At 43.0% G+C, this 12,452-nt stretch overlaps 1 protein-coding gene across 2 annotated transcripts in view, besides 1 other annotated feature; it reads left to right on the forward strand.

The window, feature by feature from the left end:
* Positions 5,487–12,452, forward strand: part of PLCB1 (phospholipase C beta 1) — a 752,635-nt gene continuing 745,669 nt past the window's right edge. For both annotated transcript variants that reach the window (NM_182734.3, NM_015192.4), the window contains exon 1: positions 5,487–5,971. In NM_182734.3, coding sequence (NP_877398.1) covers positions 5,873–5,971 — 99 coding nt within the window. In that variant the 5' untranslated portion in view covers positions 5,487–5,872. The remainder of the gene's footprint in view (positions 5,972–12,452) is intronic.
* Positions 5,573–5,712: a silencer, noted in NCBI's record as "silent region_12668". NCBI's record gives its function as "represses an Ori minimal core promoter by ATAC-STARR-seq in GM12878 lymphoblastoid cells {active_cell/tissue: GM12878}" and the evidence as "EXISTENCE:reporter gene assay evidence [ECO:0000049][PMID:35858748]".

Below are 12,452 nucleotides of genomic sequence, written 5' to 3' on the forward strand. Positions count from 1 at the left end.
AAGAGCTTCTAAGGAAGATGTTCTTCTCAATGTGTGGGTGATAATTTTAAGTTGTCTTCCTTTGAGACTCTGCCTCTGTCAGTGTTTTACTTGATAACAGAACTCACTGAGTCAGAAGCTGGCAATTTCATCATGATGCATTTTCTTATTTACCATTCAAGAGGTGTAAGCCTTATCTCTTATATTAATGTGAAAAGTAATGAAAATAATGATGCCAAAGGCATTTAATTCTTGGCTCTAATACTTTATAAGTGTGCCTCTTGTTCACATAATTTACTGGGCAGGGGAACAAGTCATCAGGGTGACCTTTTTCCATGGAGTTAATCAGGGACTCAAACTAACAGAAGCTCTGCCTTCTTCAGTGCGTGGCTTCCAAGGTCACCACCAGGATCACTTTCATTCTGGCCAGCCAGGCAGGGAAGAGCATGGATCAGCACATATGGGAGGGTTTGACCTGCCAAAGGCTACTGACTGTAACCCAGATGTGGTTATTATAAAGCTGGTTCTGGGTAGTTTTTCTCCATATCTCTCTTATATCAAAAAAGGTGAGTTAAAGGAGCCCTGATTCTTAGATGCAATTAGAACTCATTTATTCATGATGGAAAAGAGCTTTTCAGTTCTAGAAGGTTAGAGACAAAAATGAATATGATTAAAGTTTATAGAATCAATGCAGCCAAAAAGAAGTTTACTAAATCACAGACCACAGAATTAGAATGCTGTCTTTTAAGACTAAAAGAGTTATTTAGGGCATAGAAAGGGAATATAGTAGAATTTCAGAATAACCATATGTGTGTTAACTACTATTGATTACCGCTGTGACAGGGACTTAGATATATGATTTCATTTAATCTTTGCAATACCTCTTTAAGACAGCTTACTGTGGTGGTTAAATATGTAGGCTCTGGGGTCAAACTGCCTAGTTTAAATTCTGGTTCACTCACTTACTAGCTGGAAAATGTTGAACAACTACTTAACACTTCTCTGACTCAGATTACCCAGCTATAAAGTGGAGATAATAGTAACCCGGCTCCTAGGGGTTAATATGACAGTGAATGCATTAAAAATGTAAAACCCTGAGAAGAGTATGTGACATAAAAAGCTTTGACATTATTATTATTTCTCCATTTACATATTAGGACCTTGTATTTCAGAAGAGATAAGAGACTTTCCCACGGTTACGTACGTAGTAATTGGTAGAACTGGCTGTTAAAAGATATGTCTATTCAAATCAAAACACTGTCCTTCCCACTGTGGCAGGCCTCAAGTGAGTTATGAGCTGACAAGAGACTGGAGTACATACCACAATCTAGTTTCTAGGGAAATTAGGACTATTTATATTACACTGTGGTTAAAAGGAGAGAGAAACTACTCATATCTGCCTTATAAGTTGTAGAAGTATCTACCATGGTAGTTAAGAGTCTAGGTTCTAAAGTCAGACTTCCTAGGTCTCCATCTCAATTCCGAATTTTGTAACTGGAGGAGGTTAATCCATCCTCCAAACTTTAGTATATAAATCAGTAAAATAGCATACAATAATATTATCTACCAGATCAGCTGAGAGTAACAATAAAGCTTAAATAATAAAGAGATTTATTATCTCACTCATTAAAAAGTCTAAAGAAAATTTAAAGGGTTTAAAAAGCTCATGAAGGACCAGGTTTCTTTGCATCTTTCTTGTCAGTGTCCTCTTTACATAACAATATGAGACAGAGAAAGAGAATTTCCCTGAAGACATTAGTCAGAACTGAGCCCCTCATATAGCTCTTAAACCAGTTACAGACAAAGGGGAATGGAATTATTGACATTAGTTTAGGCCAATCATAGTTTGTTCCTTGGAAAGAGAGAGGGGCCATGTTTCCTAAGCATGACGACCACCCAAATTAAGTCAGGGTTTGCTTACAAGAAAAAGAGGGTGGAGAGTGGTGTTGAATAGGAAGGGTTATGTTTTTTAGTGTCTGGGAAGTGCTTAGCTTAGTGCTCTGACCCACAGTGAGTGCTCAATAAAGGTTAGCTTTGCCAGCTCCCTGAGGCTGACATTCCCAGAGGGCAATTCTGTGCTCTCACAAAAAACAGACCTTCCTATTGTTTCAAAAAACAGTACACAGCACCGAACTTGACGGATCACAGGCCTGGCTCACACAATTTTGGATTTCTTACAGATCCCTTTGCATAGCAAAAATCTCCACACTTGGACACAGGAAGGGGAACATCACACACCGGGAACTGTTGTGGGGTGGGGGGACGGGGGAGGGATAGCATTAGGAGATATACCTAATGCTAAATGATGAGTTAATGGGTGCAGCACAACAACATGGCACGTGTATACATATGTAACTAACCTGAACGTTGTGCACACGTACCCTAAAACTTAAAGTATAATAATAATAATTTAAAAAAAAGAATGGGAAAAAAACAAAAAAACTCCACACTTTAGAAACATTTCTATCTTGTATACTGAACAAAAGGTGTGGAAAATGAGGGAGTTAAACCATGCTGCTTCAAGCATCATGCTACATGTTGAAGGTATTTATCCTGTAGTTCTCCTTTAACAAACTGCGTCATTTTGCTGGCTGAAGAAACTCTTGCAGCCCATGTTTGTCTTGAAGACAAATCCTGTTCAGATTTCTACAGCGTTCTCTCCTTTTTACGTCCACGTTCACAGCAACAGCTGGGAGGAATCAGGGATGCTAGATGAAATACTCAACTATCCATTGCCAATAATGGTGGTTACCAAATGACTCCCAACTCAGTGCCATTCAACAATGAACGTTTATTGTCATGTTCATGAGTCTGCAGGTTGGCTGAGTCTGGGAGATCTAGGATGGTTTCTACTGGACTTGCTTCCAAGCTGTAAATGGGGCTTAGGTCTGTCCTGATTGTCTCCTTAGATCAGAGGCTCCCTGAGGCATGTTTATCTCATGGAAATGATAAGAAACCCAAGAGGGAAAGCCCAACCTCAAAGCATATTTTGAGCCTTTGCTAATATCACATCTTCAAACATGCCATTGGCCAAAGCAAGTCACATTGTCCAACATCAATGGGATGGATAAATAAACAGGGTGTCTAGTAAAAACTGTAAGGTCACAAAGAAAAATGTGTGGACGCAGAAAGGAGCAGGGAGCAGAGAGCTATGATGCAATAAACTACCACAGGAGGCTCAATCTACTTCTTATTTTGCTTAGAGCTCATTGTAACTCTCCAATCTCCTCTTCTAGTGAGCGCAGCCCTGTCTTGCCTTCCTAAGCCACTGTGACAGGTAAAAACTATTTGGCCAATAATCTTTCCAGTAAATAACAAAGAGATAGAAGGAGAAAAGGAAAAGAAAGGAAAGGAAAGGAGGAAAGGAAAGGAAAGGAAAGGAAAGGAAAACAATTTGGTATGATCAGTTGTAAGGACAATTGAGAAGTTCTGGAGCCCTGGAAGCAGAGTTTCATTGCAGTACTCTGAAGTAGAGAAAATCGACTTGAGACGGTGACTGATACCTTCTGTGAGGTAATTAGCAAGCCAAGGCTGCTGGCTAGAGGGACTGTGGACCATTCAGGTTTTAGTTTAGGGACATGTGATCAAAATGAAACCAGTCAGTTTTTCATGAAATTCTTTGTAGCAATTGGCTTCCAAGCACAAGGCAAGACCCTCAAATGACAGCAAGAGTCATGGGTCTTGTTCACCAGGTTATCCATGGTGATTACAATAGTGGCTAGTATACAGCTGGCTACCAATAAGTATATTTTAAATGCATTGAAATATTTAATAGCAAATTTCTGTATTGGATTTTGGTAATCTTTTGACTGAGTTCATAAGCATTGGGCCTTGGAGTCCTGAGGGCAGAGAACAGGGAGAATGAAGGATTAAGAGAATGTAGTGTTTCTCTCCATTTTTCTCTCTTCGTATTCTTTCTTCTTTTTAAAAATCAACCTTTTTGAGATATAATTTATTTAAAACAAACTGCACTCAATTTAGGCGTACTTACAGAACTTACAAGTTTTGATAAACACACACACGATATAGAACATTTCCGACATGCTCATCAGGTGCTCGTAGCCCTTCCCTGTCCATCTCTACCTATCCCTGGCCACAGGCAAGCTTTCTGTCAACATAGAATATCTTGCCTATTCTGCAATTCCTACACATGGAATCAGGCAGCATACAGTCTATCGTGTCCGGCTTCTTTTACAAAGCTTAAAGTCGCGATTCATCCCTGATCTTGCATGCCCACTCATTTTTATTGTGGAATAGTATTCCAATATTTGGGCATACCACAGTTTGTTTATCCATTCACCTGTTGATTGACATTTGCAGGCTACTAAGAAGAAAGTTCTTCACATCACTTTACAAGTCCCTGCAGACTTGAACGTTTTCATTTCTTTTGGACAAATACTTAGGAGTGGAATTTCTAGGTTGTATGATAAGTAAATATCTTACTTTATAAGAAACTATTCTCCAAAGTGGTTTTACTATTTTATATTCCCTCCAGCAATGAACAAGAGTTCCAAGCTATTTCTCTCTCCGCCCCCCCACCTCCCGCGTGTGTCTCTCTCTCTCTCTCTTTCTCTCTCTCACACTCACTCACTCTCTCTCTCCCTCTCCTCTCTCTCCTTAATAAAAAAAAAAAAAGAGTTCCAGTTGCTCCACATCCTTTCAAGCATTTGGTATTACCAGTCTTTAAAATTTTATCCATTCTGGTCCTCCTCTTTCCCTTCTTCCCTCCCTCCCTCCCTTTCTTTCTTGAATTGAGAAATGTTTGTGGAAGGAGTGAAGACAAACATTCCTGGACCTATGTTCCTAAATGAGCAAGTTTCTATTAATAAGACTCTCCCCCACCCGCCACACATCCTACACACTCAAGGAGAGGAGCGGGAGAGGGCACCCTCTTTCTTCCTCGGAAAATAAAACCTTTGCTTTCTTTAGGATGGGCTTTCTGTCTCGAAAGCACAACGTAACCGTTTGCCCGGGTTTCAAGATCAGCGCGCTGCAAACTCTCAGGCGCGGCCAGGTTTCCTCAAAGAGCCTCTCAACTGCGCTCTTCTCTGCTGATAAATGATAATTCTCTTCAAAAAGCTGGTTTGTGGCTGGCGCTGGAGAGCTCCAGCTAGAGCCAAAAGCCAGGGGTTGCCTCTTTGGTTCCTCCCGATGGGCCCCTTTTCCCAGCCAGTTGGGATCCAAAGACGCTCCGGAGCTCGAGCCCAAATTCCCAAGAAAACCCCAAAGAGCGTAAGGCTCCTGGGGACCCCTAGCACCTCTGCAACCAGGGCACGGGGCATGCTCAGAGCGAATGCGGGAGGCAGGCGTTGGCTGCAATGGGGCTCGGGAGCCAGGAGGTGCCGCTGCGTCCCCGCTTCCTGGCGCCTGACCCAGCGTGCAAAGTTGGGCTGGGAGCCGCGGGGGGAAGGAAGGACCCAGCGAGCGAGGGTGGCGGGGAAGGGGGGCGGGGGGGAGGAGGAGGGAGGAGGGAAAAGAGCGGTTAGGGGGGGCGCCGGGCGTGTGTCACTCGCTCTCTCCCTCTGTGTATAGAGGATGTGCTGAATGGTGCGCTTTGAGGCGGCGGCGGCGGAGGAGCAGAATCCGCCGCGACTGGCAGCCTCGGCTGACCGGCTCGGCTTCTCTTCGCCTTCCGAGGCTCCTCATCCACCGCGGGCTCCAGACCTCGCGTCCCGCCCGGGGCATGGCCGGGCGCTGCGCCCCCGCGCGCTCTGCCTGCTGAGCGGCGCCGGAGGGAGGTGCGGAGGCCGGGAGGCCGGGGAGGCCGGCGGGGAGCAGAGTCGAGCGCCTCCGGAGCAGAGAAAGGAGCCCGCGCCCCGCGCCCCGCGCCCCGCGCACGGTCCCCAGTCCCTGCCGCGCTCGCCCGGGCCGCCCGGAGCCCAGATGAGCCCAGATGGCCGGGGCTCAACCCGGAGTGCACGCCTTGCAACTCAAGCCCGTGTGCGTGTCCGACAGCCTCAAGAAGGGCACCAAATTCGTCAAGTGGGATGATGTAAGTATTGGGGCGGCCCGAGTCGGGGCGCTGGCTCGGGCACCGGGCAGGGCGGGCGTCGTGGGGGTGGGGCAAGGGGCGCGTTATGCAATGGGCGCACTGGGAGCGGGCAGGGGCAGCCTCGGGCGCACAGGTTGGCATCTGCCAAAGCGGATGTCCAAGGGCAGAAGCTTTGCGCGCGCTCCTGTTTCATCGGGCTTCAGTAGTTGCCATCCTTTCTGGGTCTGGCAGGCGCCCCCTGAGGGTCTTACATCTTTTGGGCCAGTGGAGAGGGAGGGGCAAGCTTTGCCTGGTGACAGGTCCTGAGAGTTCGGAAAGTAGGGAGTGTGAAGTTGGGACCAACTGGAAAGCGCCTGGTGTGAACAAATCGCGTCCCTCTCCGCCTGCGGACGCACCCCCTATTACCTCTTTTGCCCGATTTCAAGAAGGAAGGACCTGAAGTTCAAAACACTTTAGTGATTGCGAACCCTCTTGGCGCTTTTGTGGGAGCCAAGGCGGCGGAGGACACAACGGTCCAGCCAACAGGTGGTCGTTGATGCCAAACTTCAGCGCCTGGCTCCGGAGTGAGGGTCCCTGAAAAGGGCTGCGGGGACACATCTGGGGAGGGCGTGAACAGAATGGGGGCCCTTGAGGGGTCCTGGAGGGCTCATGGGCCTGCAGGCAAGTGGGGAGGGCTGACTTTTGAGAACTGAGCTGATTGGAGTCTTCTGCCTGAAATAGACAGGTTGAGAGTTTGCCCCACGATTTACCTGCACCGTTTGCCAGGTAGGGCAGAGCCTAGCCCAGCGCCGGGGTCTCTAATGCTTTACGAGCGGCCCAGACCCCAGGACTTCAAATGACTTCCCCTTCCCCTCTACCCCAGTTGTCTTCAAAACACGTAAATTAGTTATCCAGCTGAAAACATGCGAATCTTCGGATGGAGAACATTATGGTATCAGTTTTATGTCCTGGGTGTCATTCTAAAGGTTCGATAAGAAAAACCTACTGAAATAAACCCGAGTTGCCAGGCTCTAAGCAAATTTAAGTCCAAATGACTAATACATCTCTTAATCAGAAGGAATTATAGGAGAATGAGGCGTTCTTCTTGCCGAAAAGATTTTCCACCTAGTAAATTATAGCCTGTTATCCTCTAGGGTATTTTTCTTTAATCTTCTTAAGCCATTTTCCAGTGTCTGAAAACAATTTAAATATTCCAGGTAGTGAATCCAATTACTTAGCTGAGTGCGTCTGTGTCTATATTTTGTCCAGCTGGAAGCGCAAACGGAACTTGGAGTATGAACCACAGCTTCCTTGAAAGCTCGTGCCAATTATTAAATGCTGTAGGCAAGGATGTAAACATACATCTTTTTACCATGGGCTTCACACTTTTCTTCTTTCTGTTCCAGTCTAATTGTACTGAATGTTTCTGTAAATGGAATAGAATCTAAACAATAAATTCAGACGCAGATTAAATGCTTTGTGTCAGGGAAAAAAAAGACAAAGAAAATGCAGTTCAGCAATAAACAAGACGGTCTTGCCCATTTTGAGATCCTTGAATAGAGAGGTGATGTGATGATGGATTTACTGAGAAAGAGAGTGAAGGGCAGAGGAAAGAGAAAGAGACTTTGCAGAATTTAGAAAAGGGAGTTTCAGCGTAAGCTCTGGATTTGTATACAGTGATGATTCTAAACTGTATTTTAAATAATTCTCTATAATTTCTTGTTTGGGAGAGAATAGCCAACATCACATTGAGAATGAAAGTATTCTATGAAAACACATTTTGGTATATCCAGGTAGATGACTTTCATTATGTGCATTTCTGTAACACATATTTCTTGCTCACCTATTACTGCCAATCCTAGACTGGATTCTGGGGTGGTGAAAAAAGTAGACAAAATCCCTGCTGTTACGGACCTTACATGCTAGGTGGAGGAGACAAAAATCATCAAAAACACCAATGAGAGAGAGATTGGGTGATGCATTGAGGGTAATAGAGAGGACGTTAGTGAAATACCAACCAAAGAAGAAGTTGAAAAGAGCTCCTTCTGAGCATTGCAGCAGTGAGTTTCCAAGGAAGCCCTCCTGAAAGAAAGGACATAGTCACTAAGGAGAAGACCAGAAGAATTTCAGGTCTTTTTTAAAAAAAAAAAAAAAACCTAGACTGCACTCAGGAGTCAAGTTATCTGGAATATAATGAGCTATCTTGCAGGCTCTTTGGTTCTCTGGGTCTTCATGCTGATCAGTGGACTACAAGGGACCCAGCCTTTCTTAAGGTTGCCTTTCTCTTCCCCAGGCATCCCTTTTCTACTCTTCTCAGCTCGTATTTGCCCTTCCAGAATCAAGCCAGTTCAAGTTATCTGGCTATTTATATTGTACCTTAGTGAGACAGTGTGTTGAAGACAAAAAAGAACCAGATCTTGAATCAAAGGCCTGAGTTTACCTCCTAGTTCTTTCACCAGTAAGCTGCATGACTTTAGGCAAATCACTTAGCTTCTCTGTATTTTTGCTGCTTCTTGTGTAAAAGCGTGGTAATGTTACAGGACATTCAAAAATGATGAATTTGGGGCTGTTTAGGATGTGAAGAAATTATCTCTTGTTCCTGAAGTGATTAAAGCAGTATAATCACTGGTCTTGTTGTCTTGACCACCATATGGAATGGAAGATGTCACCCAGAGGTTGCAGTGCCATGCATAATTTGCTGGCCACCTACCAAGTCACAGTGAGGCTGTGGATGCTCTAAGGGTGGTAGTCGAAAGCTTTAACATAGGCACTAAACAATCACAACAGACAGCAGGGGGGTAATAGATCCTGGAGATACCCTGTTGTACCAGGGCCAGGCGTTAATATTTTTGCTGCTTGGTCATGGGGAGGTCTGGGAGTCCCCAGGGTCTGTGGATGGGTGGGTAGGTAGCTGGAGTTTTTTTGACTATTTCAGTATTTTAAAACTCATGGTGTATATTGTCTGAACATCAAGGCTATACCTGTCCTTCTGAACTTGGCATGAAGATAAAGGACTGACCTAATGATATTTAAAAAATTCAACCTCATGTCTTTGCTTTTGTTTTGCATTTGTCTGTTAGCAGGCTCTGGTGGTAGGAGGTGGGTGTAAAGGACTATGGGTATTTGTGGGAGAATTCTGGTGAGGTAGACAGTGGAAGGAGAGTTACTTTCTTGATCTAAGCTAGGGAGCTTGGGAGATTGTGAGAGAAGCTCCTCTCTCTTCTGGATCTTGGCCTTGGTCTATATTGGGCAGGACATGGAGAGAAAGAGCAAGGACTGTAAACTGTACAATAGGACCCCCAGCCACTGATTTGGCCCTGTTTTCCATGCCTAAGCACTCTGTCTCACTGTCGCACAACCTCTGAGGGATGGAAGGGTTTTCATTTATTTATTCCTTCTGTTTCTTCATTCTTACCTTTCAAATTCAGATCTTACTGTGGGCAGGTTGCTTAACGCATCCCAACTTCAGTTTCCTCAACGGTAACATGCAAATTGTAATATTTCCTAACTCAGAACAGCTGTTGAGGTTAAATAAATGAATGCATATGCATTGCTTTGTATAAAGCCTGACATACAGGCAACCTTCAATAAAACATGTTTTTAAAAGTTATTGTCGGCCGGGCGCGGTGGCTCAAGCCTGTAATCCTAGCACTTTGGGAAGCCGAGGCGGGCAGATCACAAGACCAGGAGATCGAGACCATCCTGGCTAACACGGTGAAACCCCCTCTCTACTAAAAATACAAAAAATTAGCCGGGCGTGGTGGCGGGCGCCTGTAGTCCCAGCTGCTCGGGAGGCTGAGGCAGGAGAATGGCGTGAACCTGGGAGGCGGAGCTTGCAGTGAGCCGAGATCGCGCCACTGCACTCCAGCCTGGGCGACAGAGCAAGACTCTGTCTCAAAAAAAAAAAAAAAGTTATTGTCCCTCAAAAATAAGATGGACGTGAATTTTATCAAGGTGATTAGCAGGTGTTCTATGGCTCTTTTATTCTACTAGTGGAAAAATTCAGACCTTACTTCCATTCCCTTTAATGTGTGTTTTGATTTTATACTTTATAATTTGGAGAAAAATCAGGTTTCTCACCTTCTTTTAAAAATCCAGGTGTTTCACGGAAAATAAGTACGTAATTTAGAGCAGGATCCATTCTCTACAGCAAGTCAGTTTACAAATAATCCAAAAGTTTATTTTTACTTAAATTCCATATAAAATATATTTATGTATATATGTGTATATAATTTAACATTGCACGTTCTGTCTTACAAGCATATTCTAACATGGAAAAATAATTGCTAGACTAAGTTGTCTGAGAAGTCTGATGAAACTCAGAAGTTTGGATTTGCGTTAATGCCATCTGGATTTGAATCAAGTAACTCCCTCCTTTACCACACCTCCAACCCCCACAGCTAAAACAGGTAATTTAAGAAATACTAGTATATTGCACACTTCCCAGCATCCTACACAAAAGCTTAGAACTTTTGCATTATGTGGAATCTGCTGTTCCAGTTTCCAAAATGATGACAAGTAAATGATGACAAGATGACACTCACAAGATTAATGAGAGAGCAGAGGGGAAAAGGGTTTGCGAGGTGGGAATTTAGTAGCGTTCACTTTGGAAAGGTTATGGGAAACAGGGAGGAAACTTCTCTGAGTTGGTAGCTGGCTGATGTGGATGGAGCAACTACAAAGTGCAAGGTGGATTTTAGAATGGAAGGCTAGCAGATGCCCTCTAAGGAGCCACTTAAATTTGCCCAGTTATGTCCATTTTTCTTGTCCAAAGAGCTTTGAGAATTTCTCATTGGCAGTCAATAATTACTGTAATCTAAGTGTAAGAGCATAACTCTTTTGCAAGCAAATCAATAAAACTACTTGAAACTTTTTAAAAAATCAGTGTAACATGCGTACAACAAAACACACAAATCCTGTGTCCAGCTGGATCCATTTTCACAAAGTGAACATTGCCATGTCATCAGTACCAGATCAAGAAACAGCATCACTTGCCCCAGAATTCCTGAGTGCTCTCTTCCAGTCCCTACGTCCCCTTCTAAGGGTAACCCTTATCTTGACTTCTAACTTTATAGTTTGGTTTTGCTTGTTTTTAATCTAATAAGCTATTTTTACTTTGAATGAAAACTTTAAAAAAAACCTCTTCAGCCTAAAACATTTTTATTATTGCTGAACTGATCCTCTTGAACAACAGCAACAAAAGTGACTTACAGTCAGTTTAGATGGCCATTGATTGGGTTCTTGTCTGTCCCAAGTCTGGGAAGTATAGCAGGTATAGTAAATGCCCTGAAGGAGCAAACAGTTCAACAAAACCCTAGTAATTTACAGAGGAAATGTAATGCCTTCAGGCTGTTATTGGCATGGCAAAGCTGACTAGTACAGTACTGTTGCTGGAATATAATTTTCTCTCATAGGTTTTCTCTCTTATCTTGCTTAACACTAATATTTCCCCACCTATGGTGAATGAGGATAATTTGCAGTGGCTATTAGTTTCATTTGAAAGTTTAGCCTATCAGTAAATAGCTTCAAGTTATATTTATCTGCAATGGTATATAAATGGAATGGGAACATTTTACTTTTTTATGTGGGATTTGGTAAACTGTAAATGTTTCCTTATCAGAATTGTTTCATGTTATCATGAACAAGAATCGCCAGCAGAAAATGGAAGGGGATTGCTGGTGAATTGTTGACTAACGCTATGGGTCTCCACTTAAATAACAAACCCCTGGTAACTGAAATCATTGGTCTTCTTGTTACTGGAGCTAATAATTAGGTTCATGCAACCTTTCAGATCATATCATAAATTCCAAATGCTCAGGCATATTTCACAGTCTTTTCCATCTAATCTTTTCCCTTTCTGTTCTATGTCTGATCCCCCTAAGCAGAGCCTTGTGCCCCTATGTGTAAGTAGGCAAAGGAAATATAGACATATTTCTGAGGTCATTTACATATATGACCATAAAAAAGCCATTGATTTTTGTAACTAACTAACTGAAATAGGATATAAAGGAACTAACTAATTGGAATAGATTATAAAGGATGCTTATGTTCTTTAAGAGTCTCTCTGGTTTTCCTCTGATCTCTTTAAGAGCTAATGTTCGATTTTATTATCATTACCATGTGTTAATTCTCAAAATTTTTATTTCAATTTGTATTCCAAAAATGGTTTGCATGTACCTATTAATTGAGGTTGACTAAATCTATGCATTTATCAAGAAACTAAATTATTATAAATTGAGTAACAAACTATTATATAAAATTGGAAAAAAGTTATTTTTATTTATACTAAAATTATTTTATTTATATTAAAACAGAAATAAAAGCATCCTACATCTGTCTTTTATTTCAAGGGTTTTTTTTTTTTTTTTTTTTTTTGAGACAGAGTCTTGCTCTGTCACCCAGGCTAGAGTGCAGTGGCACCATCTCGGCTCACTGCCAACCTCTGCAGCCGGGTTCAAGCTATTCTCGTGCCTCAGCCTCCGGAGTATCTGGGATTACAGGC

Source organism: Homo sapiens, chromosome 20 (genome assembly GCF_000001405.40).
Source record: "Homo sapiens chromosome 20, GRCh38.p14 Primary Assembly".
Taxonomy (NCBI): Eukaryota; Metazoa; Chordata; class Mammalia; order Primates; family Hominidae; genus Homo; species Homo sapiens.